Genomic DNA, 27,003 nt, shown 5'->3' on the forward strand with positions numbered 1-27,003 from the left:
CTCATTGCAACTTCTGCCTCCTGGGCTCAAGCAATTCTCCTGTCTCAGCCTCCTGAGTAGCTGAGATTACAGGCATGCGCCACCATGCCCAGCTAATTTTTGTATTTTTGGTAGAGACGGGGTTTTACCATGTTGCCCAGGCTGGTCTCGAACCCCTGGCCTCAGGTGATCTGCCTGCTTTGGCCTCCTAAAGTGCTGGGATGACAGGCGTGAGCCACCGTGCCCGGCCGGAGATGGGTATAAGTAAGGGGTAGGAAGGGATATGGGAAAGGCTTTTGGGGTGGAGGGAACAGCATGAACAAAGGCCAGGAGAGGAGAGGAGCATGACAGCTACATCCCAGAGCAAGGGGAGAAGACCCCTCAGTGAAGTCCCTGCTAATAGCCCAGCTACGTGTTCAGGAGACTATTTGGATATAGGATGCTCAGGTCATTTGCAATGGGAAGTGTGTTCAGGGTATCTAGTCCTTCTTGTTGCTAGACATAGAAACAGCTTTGTTCACTTTACAAATCAACAAGGGCCAAGAGGACTCTTGGTGACATTTTTACTGAGGGAACAGGATCAGAATTTAGTAGTCTTCCACTGACCAAATCCATCAGCATGGAAAGTTATAGAATGTTGGTTTCTGAAATCTTGAGTAGATTTCTGGGGTAGATGGGGGCTATCCCCTGTGGATGTGGAGGGGGCTACTTATTTGGTACTTTCAAGAGCCCTCTTCCCAGCTTGTGATTCTGTATTGTGAGTCAGTTTAATTCATTCACATCAAGTATTTGTTCATCGGTTCTGGGGGTGGGAGCAGGCCAGTGTGAGCACACCCAGGAGAGTCGGGGCAATGACTGGGAACACTGGGCACTGGAGGAGACAGGTGACATCTGGTTTCCTTCATAGCTGTTGACCCTCTTCCGAGGGTCTGGCCGCCCTTCCACCAGGGGTCGATACAGGCTTTGTGAGACTCGAGGCTTAAACAATTTGGGGGCTTCTTTAAGAAAGAAAACAAAATTAAGTATGAAAATATTTTTTTAGAATGAGAAAAGAAGTCACAACAAATGACTGAGGGCTGGATTCGTGTCCCTTTCTTTCTGAGGTCTCTTCAGGGGAGTTCCAGAGAGCTTCCAGGTGGCAGCCTGGCTGCCCTCCCCACCTGGAGTGCCCCAATCCTTCCAGGCAGCTCCTGGCTCCCCCAGAGGCCCGGGGCTCAGGTTGTGTTTGCCTCAGCGGTTTCCACCCATGCTCCTCGACTGGCCTGCTCCTTACCTCGGGGATTTCATGTGGATGTCACACCTCACTGCCCCTGGGATTCGCTCTCTGTCCATGGTCACAGTGAGGGTGAGTGCGTGCTCTGTGCCTGGCGGGCACACTGAGGGTCACTGGAGCCACCCCAGGGAGGGAGGATCTGCAGTCTTCCTGCTAGGCATATGAAAGAACCAAGACTCAGAGAGTTTGTTTCTTGCCTAAGATGTCATTGCTGGGATCAGAATCCAGTCTGGAATCCAGGGGCTTCAGAGCCCTGGTTCTTAAGGGCTGTGCTGTGTTATCCATCCTCCCTTATTGCAGGTAACACAGGAACAAGCAGGGGGTTACCTGCTGGGGCCTCTCTCCATCACTCAGCTCCTGAGGGCAGGCTGTGCTGCCTCCTGTGTCTCTAGCATTTGGCACAGAGCATGGCCAGCCCACCTTGGGAACACATAATGCTCGGCCATCCAGTGGAGGCAGAGTGTGGAGAGCCCAGGAGCTGAAGGAGGATGCAGTGGGGCCTGATTAGAGGGGCTTGGCAGCCATGGTGCTAAGTCTGGCCCTTACACCAAGGACAGCAGGGGCCATGAGGGGTGTCCAGCAGGGCACGGCCATCGGATCTGTGTTCTAGAAGCTCCGACTCAAGCAGCGACATGCAGATGGGCTTTGGGGGAGCTGCACACACACCATCTCCCTGCCAGAGCTGAGGGACACCAAAACCTGCCTTGTCACGTCCCCGCCCTGGGTTCCCATGGTTGAGTCGCTCTCACTCACAAGCTGTGTGGCTTGGGGCAAGGGCTTAACTTGCCAGGCCTCTCTTTCCCCACCTGGGCATCTTCATACCTGTCTCCCAAGGGGAATCCGCACAGCCACTGTTCCTGGTTTGGAGGAAGAGTCTCCTTTCTGGGCCTCTGCTACAGGGAGTTCAGGAGTTCCGTTCGCCTTGTCAGCTGTGACCTCTGGCTTGGGGCCAGCACCTGCCCCAGAGGGACCTTGTTCTCAGTCATAATTGGCTGGCCCTCCTTGCTCCCTCCTGGATCTTGGTAAATGACAGCAGCTACTCCCAAGGCCTGCCCTCCCTGGCCATCTCAGGGAAGAGGAGAGAGTCCCAGGAAGGAGCTACCCCGTGTGCAAGCATTTCAGCAGCCCAGGCCTCGTGGGGTGTAGTTGGCCTCCCACCAGCCATCCCTGTGTGTTCCACACACCTGCTGATTCCTTTGTACAGAATATGGGGAGGAGCTGCCTGGGAAAATTCATAGTATCTTTGGGCGAGTGGCTGTTTGCAAGCCTGCATACAAATTGAGTCCTTGGCTTCCACTGTGTGCCCCCTGGATGGTGAGGGCTAGAAGGGGGTAGCATGAGGAGTGGGACTGGCTGTCATTCCAGAGAGAGGATGCCAGCCTGGGATTTCCGCCCAAGAGCCTGGGTTCAGTGAGAAAGTACACATGGGCTGCTAGGATTCACATTTTCCAAAAGTTAAGGTGGAGAAATCTGGTTGGGACGAAGGCCACAGGCTTTCTGCTCTGCAAGGATTTCTGGGGAAGTGATGGAGAGCCTACCAAGTGCTAGACAAAATTACAAGCTGTTACATGCACCTTTGAAATCCTTACAGCAACCCTATCAAGTCAGTACTATTGGTGTACCCATTTTATAGATGAGGAAACTGAGGTCAAGAAAGGTAAAGTTCTGACCAGAGGGCACACAGCTGGAAGTAGCAGGATCAGGATTCAAACCCAGCTGCCTGCTGCCAAGGCCTGGATGCTCACTCTGTCTTTCTGCCTCTAGGAGAGTTAGTAAACAGAAGCAGATTGAGCCCAGAGGCCATGTGAGCAAAACCAGGAGTTCTACCAACAACATCCCTGCACCAAGCCAGCTATGCACTTCCTGGCTGCAGTCACCAGGCAGGGGGGCCCAGTGCTCTCTCTTTCTGTGGTGTCCATGACCCTAGAGGACAGGTCGGCCACTTGGTAGTGCCTGTGCTCCGGTGAGCCACAGAGGCAATGAGACCAAGGGGAAAATCTCTCGGCTCGGTCTCTCCCCCGCGCAGGGAGCTATGGGCTCCTTCAGCGAGTGGTTGCTATGCAGCCTTGTTTATTCAAGGAGAGCTTTGCTGAGAGCTGGAGCACGCCAGCAGTGGAGCTCGTGGCCACCCAGCCCCTGCTCAGACAGGAGGCTGCGGCCCAGGACTGTGTGGCTGGTGGGGGCCAGGGTGGGCCAGGCCTGGGGCTGCCCCGTCCTTGCCTCCCTGGGCCCATGAGCATCAACGTCTCTATAGAGACCAAGGACCCTGGATTCCTCCAGTGACAGGGGTTTGGCCTCTGGACAGAGAGGTGAGAGACGATAGGTCCACCAAGCCATCTATTGTAGGTGGTGAATGGGAGGCTGGGTCAGGACCCCTGAAGTCCCTGGAGGGAGGGATAAAGACCTGAACTGGAGCAAGCACAAACACACAGAGAAAGAAAAAGCATCCTGCTGTGACTTGGAGGCTGTGTGACCGTGGGGATGTCTCTGACCCTTTCTGGGCCTTCATGTGGCAGCTCTAGGGGAGGAGGTTGGACTCACTGTTCTCTGAGCACTGGGAGCCAAGGAAGGAGGGGCTGGCCTGGGCTGACCCCTTCCCCGAGTCATGGCCTCTGTGGGCAGTGCTCTCTACCTCAGGGTGAACCCTTCACAGGGCAACAGCTCCCTGGGGTGCTGTGGGCGATGGTGCCGGGAAGGGTGGGGGCATGCTGTGGGGATGGCACCCGTGCTTAGGGGTGCTGGGGCACCCCGTGAGAGCATAGGCCTTGGAGGGGCTCTGCTCTGGGTTTGAATTCTAACCCCCCCTCTTTCTGGCTGTGTGGACTTGAGCTCTTTGCCTCTCTGAGCCTCAGGTTTCTCATCTGTGAAGAAGGGTTTAAAAAAAGCCCCCTTGGTGCTGTCTGTGAGCATGGAGACAGTCAGGAGGGCAGCTGGCACGTTAGCCCATGCGCAGAATGGAAGTTACTGTTTGTTGTTGATGCTGTTGTTAGGTGGAGATTGGCATGTTCCTTTCTGGAGCACATTTCAGTCTCCTGAAACTAAGGTTTTGCCAGTCACTTCTCCAGGACAAGGGCTGGTGCTGGCGGGGGACCTCAGAGGGCTGCCATTTCCTCAGGAGCGCTGGGAGGGGAGGGACTGGGGCCCGTACTCTGTCGGAGCATCACTGAGGCAGGCCACAGGGCATTGGTGCCTGGCCCCAGGAAGTGGTGTGAGGGGCCCATAATCGCTTCTATCCTGAACTGGGCAGTCCCTCGCTCTTCTCACCAATGCCCTGCAGGAGACGGCCCTGCAGCCTTCTAGCCACAGGCTGGCTCCCAGGACTGGCTCAGTTTCAGCCCATGGAGCCTGAGACTAACAGATTTGAAGAAAGGGGGAGGTAGTTGGGGGCAAGGGATGGGGAGATGTCAACCTGAGCTCTGGAGAGACCTGCCTCTGAGGGCAGCGCATCCTCCCATTGACCCCACGGCTACCTCAGAGGCACCAGACTCTGCTCACTAGCACAGAGGCTGGAAGTTTATTATTGCAGACAGAAGAATGCATAAAATGCATGCAGTGTGAGGAATAATTATAAAGTGAATGTCCATGTAGCCACCTCCCAGGCCAAGAAACAGAAAAACTGGCCGCCTCCCAGAACCCACCCCCGTGGGCCCTGTCCTTATCACAGCTGCCTCCCTTCCCCTTAGGGTTAATCATGCTACTAATTTTTCCTTGATTTTCTATCAAGTTTTCCATCTATGTCTGCATTTTTATTTTAATTTAATTTCGCTTCATTTTTTGAGACAAGGTTTCACTCTGTCCCCCAGGTGGGAGTACAGTGGCATGATCTCAGCTCACTGCAACCTCTGCCTCCTAGGCTCAAGTGTTCCTCCCACCTCAGCTTCCCAAGTAGCTGGGTGTACAGGTGCACACCACCATGCCCGGCTAATCTTTGTGTGTGTGTATATATAAATATATATATATATATATATATTTTTTTTTTTTTTTTTTTTTTTTTTTTGTAGAGATGGGTTTTTTCCATGTTGCTCAGCCTGGTCTCGAATTCCTGGCTCAGGTGATATGCCTGCCTTGGCCTCCCAAAGTGCTGGGATCACAGGTGTGAGCCACCACGCTGGGCCTATGTATGCATTTCTAAACACTCGATGTAATTTTGTCTTTCTTTGAACTTTATAGAAGTAGGGGCATACCCTGTGTGGTCTCTTGGGTCTGTCTTCTTTCACTAAACATTACGCTGTGGCATCGTCCATAGTGTTGAGTGGGGCAGTCGTTTGTTTCATTGCTCTGTAATATTCTATGTTGTGAGTGCACCATGATTTAGTCCTTCATTTTCCTGTTGGACATTTAGATTTTTTCCAGATTTTGGCCATTATCCATGGCACTGCTCTGGACACTCTCGAGCTCCTTTCCTGGATCACCTGTGCAAGACTTTCTCAAGGGTGGGTTCCTAGGAGTGGAATTGCTGAACATTAGGTTTGTGCATTTTTAGCTTTATCAGGTAAAGCCAGACCACTTTCCCAAGGGTTTGTGCCCATTTGCATCTCACCTGCCAGCTGTCATGAGTGCTCCCATTGCTCTGTGCTCTCACTAGCACTTGGCATTGCCGCCCATCTCAATTTTTGCCCATCTTTGTGGGATGGTGGTAGCATCTCATTTGCATTTTCTTGATTACCAGGGGGTTGAGCATCTGCCCCCAGCCATTCTTCCTCACCTCTTTCCTCCTCTGTTGGGTGCCTCCCTTCCTCTGCTCTCTGTGATCTCAGCCCCTCATGGTGCTCAGGCTTTTGAGCCCCATTTTTCTCTCTGCCCTCCCCACTCCTCCATCCCTCTCCTCCATTCTTCTTCTTGGAGAACCAATCACTATTCCACATACTTCTTAGTGTTTGAATTACAGACCCAGGCTCCAGAGCCACTGTCTGGAAGTCTGAGTTTCCCATTTCGTGTTTTAAAACCTCTGGTTCTTGGCCCAACTCACATCCCTTCCTGGGTCTTGGATTTCTCTTCAACAAAACAAAGACAGAAAAAAAAATGTCCCTCCACAGAAGCCATTTATATTTCCCAGGCAAAACCTGGTGTATGTCCTGGAGAGGCACACACAAAACTCTGGCTCCTATTCAAGAAAGTCGGCTTTCTCATGGGCCATTGGGAAGGGACAGGGCCGGGGTCTGAAGTCTTCTGAGCTTCTTGCAGGGAGGCCTTTGCCAAGAGCCCTTTCCTGGGGTGTGACAGACATTCAGATGCTAGAGTCATGCCAATACACCTTTGCTGAGACTTTGGACAAGATGCTTTCTTGCTTCCTAGTCCCTTCTGATCCTCTGAGTACATGTGCTTGTTTACAGTCTACAGTTTGAAGATTCAAGCTCCTGCTACTGGGCAGGAATCCTCAACTGATCAGCCAAACCCTGCAGAAGGCATTCCTGGGGCAGTGGACCAAGCCATTTTTCATTCGAGACTCCAGGACTATGATCAAGTGCTAGGATAACTCTTACCTTGATGGTGGAAATCTCAGGGCCAGCAGAAGACTTCCAAGCCCCAGCCAATGGCTGTGTGATTTCAGGCAGGATTGATGCGGTGGTATCCTACCCCTCCCAAAACCTTAATCCTTGGGAGCACACTACACAGGCTCTGACCAGGCACTGTAGTGGCAAGGTGACCATTTTGGGGAGGCCTTGATGGGAAGCTGGAAAAGGAAGCTTTCCTCCCAGTCCTGCTGAAGGCCTTGCCAGCTGGCAGCCAGTGTGATGCCTATAGGGGTATGGGCCCTGGGATAGGTATTGGCTCCTGATGGCCTTATGTAGGTGTTATAGACTGAATGCATGCGTCCCACAAATGCAAATGTTAAAGCCTAACCCCCCATGTGTTGGTATTAGGAGGTGGGGCCTTCGGGAGGTAATTAGATTCAGATGAGGTCGTGAGGGTGGTTGTCTCATGATGGGTTAGTGCCCTTAGAAGAAGAGACCAGAGAGCTTGCTCTCTGTCTCTCTCTCTGCCATGTGAGGACAAAGGGAAGACAGCTACCTGCAATCCAGGAAGTGAGTCCTCACCAGGAGTGGAATCAGCTGGCACCTTGATCTTGGACTTCCCAGCCTCCAGAACTAAATTGCTGGGGTTTTTTTTTTGTTTTGCTTTTCATTTTTTTGTTTTGTTTTTGTTTTTGTTTTAAGTCGGAGTTTTGCTCTTGTTGCCCAGGCTGGAGTGCAATGGTGTGATCTCGGCTCATTAACCCCTCATTTACAAGGGAGGAAACTAGCTGACCTCCAAGGCCCCTTCCAGCTTGAAATTTAGTAACAGAAGAAAGGCATGGGAAATTCTGTTAAATTACTAGACCAAGTTCTGATTAATCTCTAATTTATATTTGCACCAACACGATACACAAAGGTGGGGGCAGGTTCAGAAGATTTTGAATTTTGTAAATTTGTGTATAAGTTACATACGCTTTGTTACTAGGACCACAGCCCACTCATATGGTTCCTTTGTGAATTAGAAAAAGATGTCTCTTTCTCAAGACACTTTTCTTCTATTCATCAGAAAAAGACTGAAATGAATGTACAAATATGTACAGTCATCGTCTAAAACAACATTGCCAGGACTTTGGAGAAGATGTAGTGTGAGGCTTATGCCTGTAATCCCAGCATTTTGGGAGGCTGAGGTGGGTGGATCACTTGAGGTCAGGAGTTCGAGACCAGCCTGGCCAACATGGCAAAACCCCGTCACTACTAATAATACACACAAAAAAATAACTAGCTGGGCATGGTGGCACATGCCTGTAATCCCAGCTACTTGCAAGGCTGAGGCAGGAGAGTTGCTTGAACCTGGGAGGTGGAGGTTGCAGTGAGCTGAGATCATGACACTGACCTCCAGCCTGGCCGACAGAGTGAAACTGTGTCTCAAAAAAAAAAAAAAAAAAGATGTAGTGTGAGAGATGTCTCCTTAATTAGGATGCCCTCGTGCAGTGCCCAACCTAGACAATCAAACATGGCAGCCCTGCTTGTCACTTATCTCATTGTTTTTCAAAAACAGCCTAAATAAAACTTTCTCTCCCCCTAGGCTTTCCTATGTCTTTTAGACTGTTAATTCTCACATCAGAATTTCCTGGGGTTGTGGAGGGGGGATGTTTTAAATGCTGCGGCCCATCCACCCCCAACCCGAGATACCCACACTGAGCTGCTATTACAAATGGATGGCCACATTCCTCGGCTGCGTTGGGCATAAAACAGTTGGGAAGTGCTGCTTTGGGTTTCTGACCACTTCCTCTGCCCTGTCCTGGGAGGTCATTAGATTCAGGTGTGAACTGCCTCCTGAACAGACTGTTCTGTTAAGAAAGGTTCTTCCCAGCAACGTGCTACTTGACCCCTGTTGTAAGTGTCCCGCCCCAGCCTGCCCACTGCTTCCTGCTCACCCTGGACAGCTCAGGAAATGGAAGGACCTCCTGCTGCACAAGGTGGCACCTCCGTGTTGCTGTCCAGCCTCAGCCAGGCCTCTGTAGCTTCTTGGCCCAAAGGCTTTCAAAAGGGACATTTCCCCTCTTCCTGAACATCTGAACACAGCAAAACAGTTACTAAACAACCAATACTATTAATAGCCACTGTGGATCGAGCCCTTGGGCCCAATCAGCCTATTAAATGTTTCTCATATTTTGTGGAATATTCTCAATAACCTTGGAGATAGATATTATTATTTCCATTTCGCAGTTAAATGGAGACTCAGAGAACTTTAATCATGTGCCTGAAGTCACACAGCTAGCAGGTGATGGAATTTAACCCTGTTGACTCCTGAATGAATGCCCTGAAATACTGCCACCTCCGTGAACAGAAACCATCAGCCCCGACTCTTCTACTTAGTAGCTCTGTGGCCTCAACCTAGTTACTTAACCTCTCTGAACCTCAATCATCTTGTCTATAAAATGAAGATGAAAATACATACTTTCTTTCTCTATTTCCAAAGCTCAATGACATAGTATTTGGAAGCACACTGTAGTACATTGCCCCGGGCGCAAAGCAAAATGGAACTAAGAAATGTTAATTCCTTCACTTAGGTTCTTCTCAATAAGACTGTCTGGAAGATGTGCTTTAGTGTTTTTTTATGAGACGGAGTCTTGCTTTGTCACCTAGGCTGGAGTGCAGTGGCATGATCTCGGTTCACTGCAAACTCCGCCTCCCAGGTTCACGCCATTCTCCTGCCTCAGCCTCCCGAGTAGCTGGGACCGCAGGCATCCACCACCACGCCCAGCTAATTTTTTGTATTTTTAGTAGACATGGGGTTTCACCATGTTAGCCAGGATAGTCTCGATCTCCTGACCTCGTGATCCGCCCACCTCGGCCTCTCAAAGTGCTGGGATTACAGGTGTGAGCCACCACACCCGGCCAATGTGCTTTAGTTTTGAATTCATTCATTCAGTCACACTACAGTTACTGCATTATTGCCATGAACCTGGCACTGTTTGTCCCTTTGTCTGCATTCTGTGGAATTGCTGGCTGGCTGCACCCTATATTGTCTGAGAACAGAGTGGCTACAGGAGTATTAACCCCACCTGATCTCACGATGGGAGAGGAGACGCCATCTGCAGCAGTGGTGGTAGACCCAGAGCTGGTAAAGAGTTGTGGTGGGGGGCTTCTCATCTGCGAACGGCCTTTCTGCTGGCCCCCACATGCCAGTCACAGCTGGAGTCAGGGGCCTGAGTGGCGGGGGGCCTTGGATGCCCCCACAGGGGGTCTGATGGGTGTGGACATCAGTCTCGCAGTTGGGGGTGAAGTGGCTCTTGGGACTGCCAGCTCTAGGAGTGGCCGAGTTGAGGGTCAGTGTGGAAACCAGCCCTGCCCCAAGCTAATAAAGATGGACATGCAGGTGGAGCCATCCAGGCCTCCTTGCAGCTTGTCTGCAGCTCCAGAGAGGGAGGTCTGGGCTCTACGGTAGGCTTGGAAGTCCCGATAATCAGATGGCAATTGAAATCACAAGGGTAGGTGCTGCCTGTAAGAAGCCCTCCTAATAAAGATGGAGGCATCTGGGAGAGGAAAGGAAAGGAATGGTTTGGTTCTTCTAAAGTCAGAATATGTCTCCGTGACTGTTCAGAACTTCACACTCCTGAGTCCAGCTCTCATGTGCAGCAGACTCACCTCCCTCTTCACTGCCAATATCAAGGCCGTTCTACGTGCCCTTTCTCTCTTCCTGACCTCTCCCTCTGTAGGACCCTTGGCTCTTCCTCCAGGGTCCGAGGACTGGTGCTCCCATCTGGCCCAGCCTGTGCCCTTCTCCCTCAGCTGTTAGCACTGGGCTCCCGCTCCATCAGCTCCCCTCCCTCCCCTGTGTCTTCAGCCTTTTCCTTCTGACTCTTTCTCCTCCTCCTGTGAACACGCTCTAGAATCTCCTACCCTGAAAAATACAGAGAACAAACAAGCAAACAAAAAATACAGAGAACAAACAAGCAAACAACACAGCTTCATCCACCCTTCATTCCCCTCCAGCTACTCTCCAACCTCTCTCCTGCCTTTCTCATCCAAATTCTCCAGCGTTGTTTGGACTCACCATCTCTATACCTTCCACTCACGCCTCAGACCTCAGCAATTTTCTGTGACCCGCATGCCTCCACAGGCACAGACCTTGCTCTCACTAAGCTCCCGATGATTCCATAATGGTCACATCCAATTGGCTGAGCTGACACCTCTAACCACTCTCTGCTCATCTGGCTCTCCTGGCGCCAACTCCCCTGGCCTCCCTGGCTGTCCTTGATCAGACCCCCTTAGGGTCTCCCCTTCTCTACCCATCTCTGCTCAATGCTGCTGCTCCCTGGGATGTTCCTTAGCTCTGGGCACTCTCTTGTGGTCAGGTTTTTGTATTTTTATTTTTTGAGCTGGAGTCTTGCTCTGTCGCCCAGGCTGGAGTGCAGTGGTGTGATCTCAGCTCACTGCAACCTCTGCCTCCCATGTTCAAGTGATTCTCCTGCCTCAGCCTCTTGAGTAGGTAGGATTAAAGACTTGTGCTACCACACCCAGCTAATTTTTGTATTTTTTGGTAGAGATGGGGTTTTGCCATGTTGGCCAGGCTGGTCTCTAACTCCTGACCTCAAGTGATCTGCCCACCTTGGCCTCCCAAAGTGCTGGGATTACAGGTGTAAGCCGCCATACCGGGCCCGCTTTTCATATTTTATTGAATGCAATATTGAAGTGAGATAAGCATTATCTCCTTTTTTTTTCTTTTTTGAGACAGGGTCTTTGTCGCCCAGACTGGAGTGCGGTGGCACAATCTCAGCTCACTGCAGCCTCAACCTCCTGCGCTCAAGTGATCCTCCTGCCTCAGCACCCCCAAGTAACTGAGACTACAGGCACAGGCCACCACGCCTGGCTAATTTTTGTATTTTTGTAGAGATGAGGTTTTACTGTGTTGCCCAGTACTGTGTTGCCCAGGCTGGTCTTGAACTCAAGCGATCTGCCAGCCTTGGCCTCCCAAAGTGCCAGGATTACAGGTGTGAGCCACCATGCCCAGCCAATTTTTGTATTTTATAGAGACGAGGTTTTACTATGTTGGCCAGGCTGGTCTCGAACTCAAGCGATCAGACAGCCTTGGCCTCCCAAAGTGCCAGGATTACAGCAGTATTTCCACTTTGCAGTTAAAAGAGCTGGGGCTCAGAGAAGTTTAGCAACGTGCCTTCAGTCACACAGCTTGCAGGTGCTGGATTTTAGTCTTATTCCCCTTCATATCTTAGTACCTATGGCATGTTTGAATGAATGAGTGAATCTCACATTTTCAGTGGCAGGCCGAACTCTGGAGGTCAGAGTCTCATAAGTTGGTCACCTGACAACATCCAGAGTCCTCCCTGCAGGTCTACGGCCTGGGCTGCCTCCCATGAGGGGAGCAGAGGTGGGTGGAGGGGTGAGATGTATGTGTATGGTGATTGGAAGCATGGGTAGCTGTTTCTTGTCCACAGGGAGACAGCACGAGATACAGGAAGGCATGTTCTGTCCAGTCTAAACCCTGCGTATAATCAGTGTGAAATCCTGGTTAAGTTGTTTATTTTCTGTGCCTGGTCCAGAGGCTGGGCTGACATCTCTACATGTCAGTGCTGTAATTCTCTCCGAGGCTCCCCTTCCTTAGGAAGTCCTTCCAAGGCCCCACTTGAGGGGTCTGCATGAAACTGCAGGTCAGATAATGCCATTCCTCTCCTTGCACAGTCTTCAGAGTTTCCCGGGGCTGCAGAGCAAGCCCCGACCCTCTCACAGAGCATTCTGGGTCTCCCCCGATGGCCCTCATCCCGCTCCCCGGGCCTGGATCCTCTTGCCAGACCCCAGACTCACAGGCGCATCTCCTCCACGCTTGCCTTAGGCCGCCTCCTCGGCCTGGAATGCCATTCCTCCTTCCTACCCGTTTAGACCCCATTTCCTACCCGTTTTGATCCTACTTCCAGGCCCAGCACGGATGCTGCTTTTCTGTGGAGCCTCTCCGGTGCCCTAGTCAGACAGTATGGAGGGTATCCCTGAGTGCTCATCTCTGTAGCAGGGTTACTTTGTCCTGTCGGGCGTGACAGTGAACGTTCACCTTCTCTGCTTGGCATTACAGACAGCATTCGCTTAGAAATGTGGGCTCATGGGTGAGAGCTGGAGGGGGTCGAAGGCAACATCTAGTTTGAGCCTCTTATTCTATAGACATATCTGTCTCCTCCGCATGAGAGGCGTCTCTGTCACCTGGGTCTGTCTTATAGGAATGGAGGGCCGGCCTGTCATAACTTTAAAGACAGTGTGGGTGTATGGACATGCGAGTGTGTGTGTGTGTGAAGGGTGTGTGTGTGTGTGTGTGTGTGTGTGTGTGTGTGTGTGTGTGTGTGTGGCTTTTCCCCAGGGAAAAAGAAGGAAGATTCACACCTGACATTATTGAGCAATTACTATATGCCGGCAATAGGACTGTTATTTCTAACATTACTTCATTTATTCCTAACAAAACCCCTTGTTAGGACATTTTTTTCAGATGAAGAAACTGAAGCTCAGAGGAATTAAATCAGCTTGCCAAGTTTACACAAGAGGGCCCGGGGCAGGATTCCAGCCCCACTGTGTCTGAGCCCACAGCCAGTGTTCTGGGAGTTCTGAGTTGGACACTGGGTGCATACTGGCTTGTGGGGTGTGAGACGGGAGGGGGGCCTAGATCTGAGGCCTCTCTTCCGAGAGTGTGTCAGTGGGGGCCATGTTTTTGGTTCCAGAATGAGAGTTTGTAAACGCTGCCACCTTTCCCCTCAGCCTGGCTCACCCCTCCTTCCTTTCTCTGTCACCTTGGTGTGGGCTCTACTGTTCCCACCAGCTTTGTCTGAGGAGATGAGAACTCTGGCTGGAGACGTCTCAGAGGTCTCTGAAAGTCGGAGCGGGTGGTGTCATGACAGAAAGAGAAGCTGTGGGAGCGGCAGCCCCAGGGCTGTGGTGGGTGGGATGAGTCTGCCCAGCTCCTTGGGAGCAGAGTGGGCGTGGAGCTGCACGCTCCCTGTGGACTGTGCGAGGCCCGGGTGGTTGGGGTTTTGTGCTTGGGACTGAACTTCTTTACTGGGCCAGCCCTAGCTAGCTTTTGTTCCCTTTCCACTTGACACTTGAGTCCCCTGTGTCACCTTTCTTCATTCCTATGGCCCCGGTCACTATGGAACCTCTGTAGCCATAGCATTAATGGGAGGAGGGGACAACGGTTACTTACCCCGGGTCGCCCCATTCCCTGGGCTGGGAAACGGAGGCTGAGAGGGGAGAAGCCAGCCAGGCAGAGCAATTCAGAGCATCAGGAAGTGAGGACAAGATCCTGGTCACCAGAATCCACTGGCTCATTTAGCCCTTTGGGTCAGGGGCTGGCTGTTCTAACAGGGGAGAGTAGCGCCTTAGTGTCCAGAGCAGTGCTGGGTGTGATGGGGCCTCGGTGAATTGTGCCTTGGGGGTCAGGTGCTCAGTGGTGTCTGCCCTGTCCACACTTGTGCTGGACTTCCTGATTCTGATTTTTATAGTTTGGATATGGATCATTCAGTTCCTACAGGTCCCTGGGCCAAAGTGATTTCCTGGGGTGGTGCCTCTCACTGCGCTCACGTTAGTCAGGCTTGTTTGTCCATAGCAGCTTTGGCCACCTCCTCTTGGGCGGGCACCTAGGAGATCCTGCACTAGACCCTGGGGCCTGAAGGGTCGAAGGTGTAGACCCTGAGAGGGTCTCAAAGGGGCTCTGCTGGAGGGGATGCTTTGGCGAGCCATGGAATGGCTCCAGATTTCCTTTCCATACTGCTGGTGTCCTGGGACCAGGGGGAACCTGGGCTGCCTTGGCATGTTGACCTCTGACCACTGAGGAGGCTACGGTGGGAAAACTGTCTTGTTCAGAAGGCCCACTGCAGTAGGGGTGGCTGTTGAAACTTAAGCATCCCGTAACCTCAGGCGGCTCGAGTCTTCTTTTTAGCCTCCTAGAGAGTGATCACTTTGGGGAAACTGAAGCAGCAATGACCATTCTGACAGCCTAGGGTAAGAAATAGGGCCGAGATCTTATTATAAAGTGAATCTGAACTACAGACCAGTGATTTTTTGATCCTGTCTGAACATCAAAATCAGAAGTTAAGGCTGGGTGTGGTGGCTCATGCCTGTAATCCCAGCACTTTGGGAGGCCGAGGCAGGCAGATTACTTGAGGCCAGAAGTTTGAGACCAGCCTCGCCAACATGGTGAAACCCCATCTCTGCTAAAAATACAAAAATTAGCTGGCCATGGTGATGTATGCCTGTAATCCCAGCTACTTGGGAGGCTGAGGCAGGAGAATGGCTTGAATCCGGGAAGTGGAGGTTGCAGTGAGCCAAGATCATGCCACTGCACTCCAGCCTGGGTGGCAGAGAGAGATTCTGTCTCAAAAAAAAAAAAAAAAAAATCAGAAGTTAAAGAAAAAAAAATCCCTGTGGCCTATTTCCTAGACCTAATTCAGCAGGGGCTGGAGGTGGGGCGTGGAAATCTGTAATTTTAATTGGTTTCCAGGCTATTGTAATCTGCAGTTAAGGAGAACAAAGACTGTAGCTAAATATTGCTTTTCTGCATATAATTTTCGTAGAAAGTGTATCCTCTGGTTAGAGATATGGGGAACAGGTGGGGCTTGCAACTCTCACAGCCCCCAAATCCCAGGACCCCAGCTTGTTTGCTATAATTCAGCCATGGAAGGTCTGTGCCAGCCTGCCACATTCCTGCTGGACTTTGTCTGGAAACCAGCTGCCTGGCCAATCTCTTGAGCCTCTTCCCTAGCTCAGGGGGTGAAGTTTGGGGTGTTGGTGCCTGTGGAATAGAATCTTCCCTCGCCTTGTCTAGGAGAGGTGCTGTGTCTCACAGGGGTTCAGGACTGCTTTTCACCACCGTGTGGCCACATCCTTATCCCAGTAGATATTAAACAGAGAGTTCCCCTCTCCCTGGTTGTGAGGAAAATTCTCCTCAGACAGGGAACTCATGTCTTGAGGTTCTAAGCAGTGAGACCAGGCTGGGGCCAAGCTGGGCTGGGTGCTGGGCTGGGTGCTGTGCTGGGCCGGGCACTGGGCTGGACACCTGTGTTTGGGTTGAGGGTTGCTAGGAGCTACTCTGCCTTCTGGGGCCTGGGTGGGGCAGTGGCTGGCTGGCTTCCAGACAGAAGGCAAGTTTCTCAGTTCCTGAGTTGGGATTTGTTGCTCAGAAAAGGGAGTTGGCACAGGTTCCTGCCCTGTCCCCAGACGCTTTGTGGACGAGAACTCCTCTCTGGGGTAGAAATTAGGAGCTGTGGGCTTCACCCCTGGTCTTACCACAGATCAGCTCTGGAAGCACCTCTGTTACCTGTCAGGGGAAAACGGGTCACCATTATCGCAGCAAAGGATTCATAGAATTGTGTGAAGCTGCAGAGTGTGCAGTGAGACCCTGTCACATGGAAATAAAATGAAGTTAGGTCAAGGGCAAGAGCTGAGGGCTGACCCAGAGGCTGAAGGGAGGGCTGGAGGGATCAAGGTGTGGGCAATGCGGTGGCTGAGGGGGGTCACAGGTGTGGCTTGTTCAGTCAGGTGAGAAGGAGCACCAAGGACGTCATGGAGGTCATGACCGCGCATCCTGAGAGAGACTGGAGAACTGGTGTCCGAGAGGCCCCGCCAACACCTGTGTGATCAGTGGTTGCAGAGGCCAACATCGCCATGGGCTTTCAGGGCAGCTGGCGGACTCAGGGGCATCTGAAGCAAATTGAAACTGATGGAGAAACACAGTGTCAGACACTACCTTGAAAAAAATCATCTTTCCCCGCGACCCTAAAGGTGTCCATGTCTCAGTGACAAGGGATGGCAGGTTGATGGGTTTTGTTGACACTCTTCATAACGAACTCTTCCCAAAACCACACGGCCTCGCACTTGGGAACTGAAACATTTGTGAGTCCAATGTCAGAAAAATGGCATCCTTTGGTTTAGTGGCCGATTTCTTCATGACAATAATGCTTTAGCCCCTGAAGGGCTTTTTGTGAAGTAGTTTAAAAGTGTTAATTTGCTTTTACTGACTTCTCCTTTCTCCTCTCACCCTTAGGTCCCGGATGTTACAGGTCAGAGCCCTCCAGACCCCCAAGGACTGTACTCACTGCCCAGAAATAGCTGCTGCCTCTGGGCAACCTTGTAGGCACCTTCTCCACCCAGGACATGGGCACCCGTGACGATGTCCCCGAAGGTAAGGGGCACCATGGGAGGCCTGCTGCTGGTGTTTTCCAGGCTAGGGGACCTGCCTCGGACACTCCCAAGGGCCAGAAAAAGGGAGATGTGGGGATAAAGGGCTGCTGGGAGATAACAGCCAGGTGGCCGTGCCTTTCCAGCCCTGGCCAGCTCCCCACATGCTGCCGCTCAGCTGGCTGTCTGGGTGGCTCCCTGGCCTAAGGAGGTGCTTGGTGTTCCAGGGCCTTGGCCTGAGCTTTATCTCCACTCTCTGCAGCAGGGTGGTTGGTTCCTTGAGGGGCTAATTCTGTTCTGTGGTCAAGGTTATGTGGATGGGCAGGGGATATGGGCCGGGCCCTCAGGGAGGGTGAACGACTCTGTTTCCTTAGCCAACCAAGTGGGGTAGTGGGAGCAGTGTGTGGCCAGTTAGCATCAGGAGATGGGCCTTGAGGCCTGGCTCTGCTTTTGGGAGCTGGCTGGGTGAGCCTCAGTTTCCCCTGGAAAGTGAGGGGATTGGTTCTGCCCCAGATGAAATGGGTGCTAGCAAGGTGCAGAGCTGCTTCATCCTGCATGGGCTGGAGCAGGGGCCAGATGGCCATTTGGAAGGAAGGCAGAGAAGCAGGATGGCCAGAGCAGCGGTTCAGGAGACAGCGCATGATGCACACGGCAGAACTCCCCGGGGCTTCGACATATGAATCGGAAAAGACCTGCTTACTTTAGTGCTAAAGCAGATCCCACCTGAATGTAGATTCCAGTGGAGAAGTGGGAGGTGCTGAGATCTTAGAAAGAAAAATCTACAAATCTAGAAATAGGATAAAGATGTTGTATGAACCTTTAGTGCTGTCAACTCCTTTGCTTTACTGATGTGGGAACTGAGACTCAGAGAAGTTAGCTTATTTCCTCAAGGTCACACAGGTGGAAAAAGTGGGAACCCAGGCTCCTGAGTTCCAGACTAGGAGTCTTGCAGCCTGGGGATGGACGAGCTGGGTTTCCACCTGCGTGGTGGCTTCTCCAGGTGGTGGCTTAGGTCCCCATGGATGGTCCTGAGGTGGGCTCGGGAAGGGCTGAGCCAGGAGGGTGTGGGACCCACGTTTGTGAAGTGCCTACTTAGCAGCAGGTACAGTACTACAGAGATGAGTAAGACACAGTGACTGTTCCTAGGGAAGCTGCAGGGCAGGAACAGAGAGAGGCATGGGGAAGAGAGAGTAACACAGGGCTGTGCCTGGGGCTGTGGGAACACAGGAGAGGGAGGGCTTCTCTTTCTCTTTTAAAAATATTGACACATAATAGTTGTACATATTTTCTGGGTGTACATGTGATATTTGGATACAGGCATTCAATGAGTAATGATCAAATTAGGGTAATTGGGATTTCCAGCACCTCAACCACTGGCCATTTCTTGATGTTGGGAACATTCCAATTCTAGCTATTTTGAATTATACAATACATTATTATGAGCTATAGTCACCCTACTATACTATCAAACAATAGCTCTCATTCCTTCTATCTAACTGTATTTTTGTACCCATTAACCAACCTCTCTTCATTCCACCCCCTTCTCTTCCCAGTCTCTGGTAACCACCATTCTGTTCTCTGCCTCTGTGAGACTGACTTTTTAAGCTCCCATATATGAATGAAAACAAGTAGAATTTGTCTCTCTGTGCCTGGCTTACTTCACTTAAGATAATGACTGCCAGGCTGGGAGTGGTGGCTCACATCTGTAATCCTAGCACTTTGGGAGGCAGAGGCGGGCAGATTGCATGAGCTCAGGATTTCGAGACCAGCCTGGGCAACATGGTGAAACCCTGTCTCTATGAAAATACAAAAAAATTAGCTGGGCATGGTGGCAGGTGCCTGTAATCCCAGCTACTAGGGGGAGCTGAGGCAGGAGAATCACTTGAACCCAGGAGGCGGAGGTTGCAGTGAGCCGAGATCGCACCACTGAGACTCCATCTCAAAAAAAAAAAAAAAAAAAAAAAAAGATAATGACCTCCAGTTCCATCCATGTTGCTGCAAGTGGCAGGATTTGATTCTTTTTTTATTCTTTTTTATGGCCTAATAGTATCCCATTGTGTATATGTGCCACATTTTCTTTATCCATTCATCCATTGATGGACACTTAGGCTGATTCCATGTCTTGGCTATTGTGAATAATGTAATAAACATGAGAGTGCAGATAGCTCTTCAATGTACTGATTTACTTTCTGTTGGATATTCATCCAGCAGTGACCTCAAAAGCACAGGCAACAAAAGCAAAAATAGACAAATGGGATTCCATCAAGTTAAAAAGCTTCTGTAGACACAAGGAAACAGTCAATAGAGTGAAGAATAGGAGAAAATATTTGCAAACTATCCATCCGACAAAGGATTAATAACCAGAATATATAAGGAACTCAAACAACTCAGTAACAAAAACAGAGAATCTGCTTTAAAAACTGGCAAAAGATGGAAGGCTTCTTAAAGGAGCGCATGCCTTAGCTGAACTTCCCCTCCTCTTTCCTGACTCCTGCTCCCTGTATGCTCTCAGCTCAGTGGTCCCTCCCTCTGGGAAGCTTTTTCTGTCCCCATCTCTGGCCGGGCTCCCAGGCCCCGCACTGTCATTGCTTCTTAATCATTGTGTTCTCCGCCAGACTTCAAGTCTCACTGAGGACTGAGTCAGCCTTGCCCACTACTGTCTCACTGCACAGAGAGTGTTCACAAATCTCTGTGTCGCGGATAGAGGGTGTCTTTTGCTGAGCCGAGGGACGTTAGGAGAGAAGAGGGAAGATCAGTGTAGGACATGCTGATGAGGTGCCTGGGGACTTCCAAAAAGGAATTGGCAAGGTAATTGGATGCTCTGTAACGGGTGGGATTGGTCAGGGCGGAAGCCGTAGGGTAGGGGATTATCTGCAGGGTGTGGCAGTGAGGAAGTGTCCTGGGGAGAGCAGCTGGTGGACAGAGGTTGGGGATGGGCACTCCATCGGTCAATGATGTTGGGTGATGGAAGAGGGGTGCCCATGAAGGAGATGAAAAGGCATGGAGGGGGGTTTGGAACAAAGCCAGGATGCGAGGAGGGAGGAGGCAGCCAGGCTGAGAGGCTGGGGCAAGCGGGGTTGGAGGGATTTGGTGGAGATCACAGGCACCCTGCCTGGCCCTGCCAGGCTCTGGTGTTGGGGGTGGGGCCACCACATGCCTTGGTTTTTTGGGCAGGGACCCTGCGGGGTGGAGTGCTCAGGGTTACGGCCGGGTGTTCTTGGTTTGCTCCCAGTCTTGGCCTTGGAGGACTCTCAGGTGCTGCTCTCCTGTGCTTCTGTCTCCAGCCAAGGTCCTGGTCCCCGTGGCCGTGTACTGCGGGAGCATCCCTCGGACCAGTGCTGGGCCCCGGGTGCTCCCGCCTGGAAGCATCAACTCCAGTCTGCCTCATGGAGAAGGTGAGATGGGAAGACCTCACCTGGTCAGGGCCCCTGGCCTCATCCTGGAGCGGGGAGTGAGTGTGGTAGATGCCGGCTGTGTTCTCGAGCTACCAGCAGGTGTTATTTTTCCTGTGGCTCCTGCTGAAAATACCCTTTGATTCTTTCAAAGGCAGGTTCTTTTGATCCTGTGCCTCAGAGGTTGGAGGTGTGCAGAGGGGGACCCGCAGGAATAGGGAGCAGGGCTCTCTGCATGCGCCTGGACCTGGGAGTGCACTCAGCACCCAGGTTGGCAATGGGGAGGGGGCCCCTCTCAAGATGTCCACTCAGCGTCTCTGCCACTTGTCCAGCATCTGCAGCCTGGGTCTCTGGAGGGGCTGGGTTGTGGCCAAGCTTCTGAGAGCCCACCTGTCTGAATGCTCCCCCAGGGCCCAGGTGAAGAGCACCACTTCCTGAAGGTCTTCTAGAACCTCTTACCTCCTCTAAATGTGCAGAGTATTTTGTTTCTCTCCCATCTGGTGTGTCTGCTGGGGGTGGGGGTGATTTGCTCTGAGATGCCTGAGTTCCTCCTTGTAGTCTGTGCTTGGCATAGGTCAGTGCTCGGGGATCTGATGACTTTGTTGGACCCTGGAGATTGGTGGATGGTGGTCCCTGGGCAGACGACCTTCCCTATGATTCACGGCCTCTTGTCTGTGCTGCCATAGGACTGCCTGTGGATTCCCCCTTTTGTCCTGAGCACCTTGTGGCATGGGTCTTGTGAAGATTAGGTGCTTCAGAGACACTGTCGAATGAATGACTCGTCCCCAGGAGTGACTGAAACATTAAATGACTGGGTTTCACCAGGCAAGTGGCTGCCTGTTAGAAGGAAGCAATGTCAAGGAGCTTGCTGGTGCCTGGTGCCACCCTGGGTACTGCGTGCCAAGCCATTCACACCTCTGTCCCCCTCAGGTTCTCTCCAGCCTGAGCCAAGAGCCCTGCTGAACAACGAGGAACCGTCACAGCTCCTGCGTGGACTCGGACAGCTGGGTGGCCTCAAGCTGGACACCCCTTCCAAGGGCTGGCAGGCAAGGAATGGTCACCCCAGGAACCTCAGGGCCTTGTCTTTGGGGGACCAGCCCCTGGTGCTCCTCCCTTCTCCGGAGTCAGAGGCCAACAGCGTGGCCAGGGACACCATCCAGATTAAGGACAAGCTCAAGAAAAGGAGGCTCTCAGAGGGCTTGGCAGCGTCTTCCCGAGGTGAGCACTGGCCCCTGCCCACCCCTCACCCACCCACTTCCAGGTCAAGGGCCGCAGGCCTCCAGGGCTGTGAGGGTCAGCAGGCTTCCAGGTGGCATGCTGGGATGCCCTGGGGGTGATCGGTGGGTACATACCAGGTACCTTCTCTATGGCTTCAGCGACCTCCTTGGAGCTGAGCCTCCCTCCCGGGCTCTGCAGTGCTTCCCGACTGGCCTCTTCATTCCCACCCTTGCGCCTTCTAGTCTTGCTCCAGAAGGATCCTTTTAAGCAAATGTTCTTCCCATTTCCACCAACTATGCTCAAAATCAGCCAGTAGGTTTTGGATGTGCTTAGACTAAGATCCCAAATGTTCCCTTATGCACAAGACCTTCTGGCCCTGGCCTCACCCCAACTGTGTCACTCTCTGCCTTCGGTCTCTGCTGTCCAGGGCCTGGGGCTTGTGGGCTCTTTCCTGCCTGAGGTTTAGAGCCACTGCTCCTCCCCCACCCCTCCTCCGTTTCCCACTCAGAAAATCCCCACCCAGCCTCCCTTCTTGGCTTCAAAGCCCTCCTCAAAGAGGCCTCCTTGACTCCCCAATGTGAGTTTGCCCCTTAGGATGCTCTCCAATAATGCCCTATCATTTTTTTCCTTCAGTTCTTTTCATGGTTTGCATTTATATTTTTACTTTTGTGACTATTTAAAACCTGAATCTTGCATGTAATTGTCAGCTCCAAGAGGGCAGTGACTGAGATCTCGGTGTGAGGCACAGTCGCTTGGCAGCTAGGAGGCTCTCAAGAAACGTTTGTTGAGCAGATGAACAAGGGATTCAACAGCAGGCACTTTATACTGTCTCTCATCTGTGTGGTGGACAAGCCAAGTTCAAATCTTAGCCCCGATACTCACTGGCTCTGGGGCCTTGGGCAGGTCGGTAACATTTCAGGCCTCGATTTCCTCCTCTGTGGAATGGGGACACTATTAATAATACTTCTGTGTTACTGTGGGGGTTTAATGAAAACTTGTACACAGAATTCTCAACACCTGGCATATGGGAAGAACTTAATACATTGTTACTATTTTCCTTCCTTCTCTCCTCTTCTGGGTGAATCATACGGGCTCTTTTCAGCGGAATGAACTCTTGGGTAACAAGAGCAATAAGAAGTCTTGAGGTCTTAGGAAGAAAGGGGAAGTGCTCTCAAGAGGCACGTGGTTGCTGCCGTCAAGCCTGGGGTTGTGGTTGGCTGTTCTTCCCCTCCCCTGTGCAGACTGCTCCACCTGCTGAGCCTCTCCCTGGAGCCGTGGGGTGTCTCCAGCTCCCGGGGAGCCCAGGACAATGCCAGGGAGCCTCTGGGAGGAATTGTCCTGGCTGCACATTATGGAGGCAGAAGGTGGGGTTGGAATGCCCGAGAAGCTTCCTTAGAACTTCCAGTAGGTACAACTCCTAGAGCTGCCAGACCAACAACTCTCTCCCTTAGGGGCTTGAAGCCCTTTTCTAGATATTTCATTTCTTTTTTACAAAGTTCCAGCATAGGGAAAAAAAGAATGGAGTTGTTCTACCTAATGTTCTGATGGGCAGTGACCTATAGACTTATCAGGCCCCTCAGCAAGCATGGAGGGCCGGGGATCTCTGGCCCCCGGGCAGTGCTGGGGCTGCTCTGGCCCCTGCATTGAGGCTGAGTTGACTCCTCTGTGCCCTGACCCAGCTGGGGCTCAAGGTGGCCCGGCAAGTGGCACAGTCTCCACTTGACCACACCCCTTCTTTTCCATCCTTTCAGCTCCCCACAGGCTAACCACAACACAACAGTGCTCCAAGACAGAACAGAACCAGCACCGGAAGCCAGGAGGGGAGCGAGTGTGCAGGAACAGAGATGATATTTTGACTTGGCTGGTTTATTTTTTTTTAATTTTTTTTTTCTGGAACAGAGTCTCGCTCTGTCACCCAGGCTGGAGTGCAGTGGTGCGATTTTGGCTCACTGCAACCTCTGGGTTCAAGTGATTCTCCTGCCTCAGTCTCCTGAGTTGCTGGGATTACAGACAACCACCACTAGGCCCAGCTAATCTTTTTTTTTTTTTTGAGACCGAGTCTTGCTCTGTTGCCCAGTCTAGAGTGCAGTGGTGCGATCTCGGCTCACCGCAACCTCCACCTCCCAGGTTCAAGCGATTCTCCTGCCTCAGCCTCCCCGGTAGCTGGGACTACAGGCATGTGCCACCACGCCCGGCTAATTTTTAGTAGAGATGGGGTTTCACCATGTTGGCCAGGCTGGTCTTGAACTTCTGACCTCCAGTGATCCTCCCGTTCTCGGCCTCCCAAAGTGTGTGGGATTACAGGCGTGAGCCACTGCGCCTGGCCTGACTTGGCTGTTTTGATGCAGTGGTTTTGTTGAGGCCAGAATGAAAGTTAAAATGCTAGTCTTTTTTTTTTTTTTATTCCTCATCACTGATATTTACAAAGATAACCCTGAGCTCTTGGCCCAACCCAGTGCTTCTTGCCCTGTGCCTTTGCCTGAGGCATGGCTGTGGGGTGAGATGGGGTGGGGCACAGGGCGCTGAAGATGTCTGTTGGGCACCTAAAGCATTCAGAGGGGAGCTGGAAGTGTGGCGGTCTGTCTTAGACTATGTTAGCTGTGTCAAAACAGCTACGCCCCACATCACCAGCCGAAAAGGAAGGGGAAACAGTGGCAGGTACTTGCCTGGCATCTTATATAAGTGATGTTATTGAATCACCCCATTTCACAGAAGTGTAATGGGGTTCAGAGAGACAGTGCCTTGCTCGAGGTCACATAGCTTCTACCCACGGCCAGGACCTGCCATGCTTCCTCCTGATCTGGCACTGCTTTTATTTCCCTTCCTTCCCACGCTGCCTCTGAATTCTAAACAGGTAACTTGGATTGGCCCTTTCTGGAATGGCACAGACACTCAGAAGTGGCTGCTTGCTCAGTCTACCAGTGGTGGGGTTGGGGACAGATCTGATCTCTCTCCTCGCCATCCCAGTCCTTCCCAGGGCAGAAGGCCCCGTTGCTGGGGTCTGAATCCACCTTCCACTCCCTGTTCTTCTGGGACTAACTGATTTCCCATCCCCATCCCTGTACAGCCTCTCTGGATCCAGGGGGAGGCCCCCAAGGAGTTCCCCTGCACAGCACCATCCCCCGAGCCACCTCTCAGAGGCTGCTGAGGGTGCCCAGGCCGATGCCTCTCATCCAGAGCATCCCTACCACCCCTGAGGCCAGCGGAGTCAAAGAGAAGGGCCTGGACCTACCGGGGAGCATTCCGGGTCCTCACGAGTTGAGACCCGGTGCTCAGGAGGTAAGGTGGTTCGACTGCTGTGAGTCTGGTCCTCAGCTTCTTGCCCTCCCTTCCTCCTGCCTTTCTTTCTAGCCTCCACCAACCCCTGACTCCATGCCCTGAGCATCCCTGGAGGTGTCTTGAGGTCTGCAGTGAGGATAGGGACAGCACTGGGAGAGGCTCAAGGTGCTCATTTCACCACCTCCCCCAGCATCTCAAACCTCCATAGCTGGCCTGGGGGCTCTGGGTGGCTGTGCCAGAGGCTGCATGACCTTTGTCCTAGAACTGGTGGTCCCCTAGGCCTTCTCTGGTCTAAATGTTCCAGAATTCCTCCTGCTTTCTGGCCCTCTCCATTTTAAGCAAGAGTGTGGCAAAGAATGCTGGGCTAGGACTCAGATTTGGGCCTTGGTTTCTGTTTGCCCCTCACTGGCTGTGTGACCTTGTGCAAGTCACACCCCTCTTTGGGCCCCAGTTTGCACATCTATGAAAATAGAGGTTTGGCCCAGATGTGTTTGAAGGTCCTTCCAGCTCTGATGTTCTAGGATTTTTCTGAAATGAGAACAGAAAAACGAATAATAATAGTCACAAAAGGGCTTGCCAGTCTCCTCACCAGGAGTGGTAAGGAAGCAGTCAGGCTTCTGGGGGTCCCAGGGTGGTGTGGCTGAAAAGAGACAGCAGGTCCCACACTGTGTGAGGTGCCTGGAGGTGAGCATTCACCATGGGATGTTGCCATAGGCCAGACCCCTGTCCCGCCTCTGCTCCCAGGCGCAGATCTCCTGGCAATACCTGCACTGCAATGATGAGAAGATGCAGAAGTCCCTGGGCGCCATCGTGATCCCACCCATCCCAAAGGCCAGGACGGTTGCAGCGACCCCCTCCCGTGTGCCTGGCTCCCTTCCCAGCCCGTTACCTCCAGGCCAGGGAGTCCTCACAGGCCTGAGGGCCCCACGCACGCGGTAAGAGCTCCAAGTCAAACCTTCCTTGCTGACTTCTCTCCCTCTGTCCCCCTGAGATCCACTGGGGCTCCTTGTGGCTGACCCTCCATGCTGTGGCAGAGTTCTTGGGACACCAGGCAGGGAAAGGGCTGGGGGCTCCACCCATGAGCCACAGACCTAGGGAGGTCCCAGCATGGTTGCCGGGGCTTCTCTGCCTCTTGGCTCCGGCAGGCTGGGTCAATGGCATCACGAACAATGTCTCCAGCCTCTGTCTTCTCCCAGTGCCTTAGTGGATGAGGTTGCCGGAGTAATGAATAAAACACTAATTATTTTATCTCATATATATAATTTTGAGATGGAGTCTCACTCTGTCGCCCAGGCTGGAGTGCAGTGGTGTGATCTCAACTCACTGCAACCTCCGCCTCCCGGGTTCAAGCGATTCTCCTGAGTAGCTGGGATTACAGGCACCCACCACCATGCCCTGCTAATTTTTGTATTTTTAGTAGAGACGGGTTTCAGCATGTTGGCCAGGCTGGTCTTGAAACTCCTGACCTCAGGTGATCTGCCCTCCTTGGCCTCCCAAAGTGCTGGGATTATAGGTGTGAGACACCGTGCCCGGCTATGAATAAAACACTATTTTAAAGCATGATTGAGTTCATGGCAGCTCTTTGTAATTAAATATTTTCTTAATTGATGGATACTAAAAATACAACCAGTATCATGTGTATGGGGGACAGTCCACAAACTTTTGGACTTGAAAAGGGGTCTTCATATCCCACAAACAAGTGGGGAAGAGGATCTTTGTGTTGGCATAAATCGGGTTATGGCTTGTAAGTAAGACAGTGCTCTAGATGGCCAGCAACATCCCCGTGGTCAGTCCAGAGTGATGTCAGAGCACGTGTGTGTGAGAGTGAGTGTGTCTGAGTGTCTTTGTGTGTGCACACATGTATGAGTGCCTGCAGGTATGTGTGAGTGTATGTGTATGAGTGTGTATGTGTGCATGTATATGTGAGTATATGCATGTATGTGAGTACAAGAGTGTGTGTGTCTGAGTATGTGTATATGTGTGAGTGCATGCATGTGTGTGTGTGTCTGAGTGTGTGTGTGCATGAGTGCAAGAGTATGTGTCTGAGTGTGTCTGAGTGCATGTGTGGAGTATGTGTGTGCATGTATGTGTATGAGTGCATCTGTGTGGAGTTGTGTGTGCATGTGTGTGGAGTGTATGTGTACATGTGTGAGTGCATGTGTGTGCATGTGTACGTGTGTGAGTGCATGTGTGTGCATGTGTGTGCATGTGTATGTGTGTGAGTGCATGTGTG

General features: G+C 52.0%; 1 protein-coding gene across 14 annotated transcripts in view; it reads left to right on the top strand.

Moving 5' to 3' along the window:
* Positions 1-27,003, top strand: part of TOGARAM2 (TOG array regulator of axonemal microtubules 2) — a 95,713-nt gene that overhangs the window by 21,460 nt on the left and 47,250 nt on the right. For 9 of the 14 annotated variants that reach the window (XR_939670.1, NM_199280.4, NM_001321538.3 and 6 more), the window contains exons 1-6: positions 3,321-3,561; positions 16,748-16,885; positions 20,166-20,276; positions 21,204-21,491; positions 24,559-24,770; positions 25,515-25,705. Coding sequence is in view for 13 of the 14 variants with exons in the window: in NM_199280.4 (NP_954974.2) it covers positions 16,858-16,885; positions 20,166-20,276; positions 21,204-21,491; positions 24,559-24,770; positions 25,515-25,705 (830 nt within the window). In the remaining variant the exon portion in view is untranslated. Of the gene's footprint in view, positions 1-3,320; positions 3,562-16,281; positions 16,597-16,747; positions 16,886-19,501; positions 19,690-20,113; positions 20,277-21,203; positions 21,492-24,558; positions 24,771-25,514; positions 25,706-27,003 lie in introns of those variants that run through there. The other 5 variants (XM_047443568.1, XM_047443570.1, XM_047443567.1 and 2 more) reach the window with 4 other exon arrangements.

Source organism: Homo sapiens, chromosome 2 (assembly GCF_000001405.40).
Source record: "Homo sapiens chromosome 2, GRCh38.p14 Primary Assembly".
Taxonomy (NCBI): domain Eukaryota; kingdom Metazoa; phylum Chordata; class Mammalia; order Primates; family Hominidae; genus Homo; species Homo sapiens.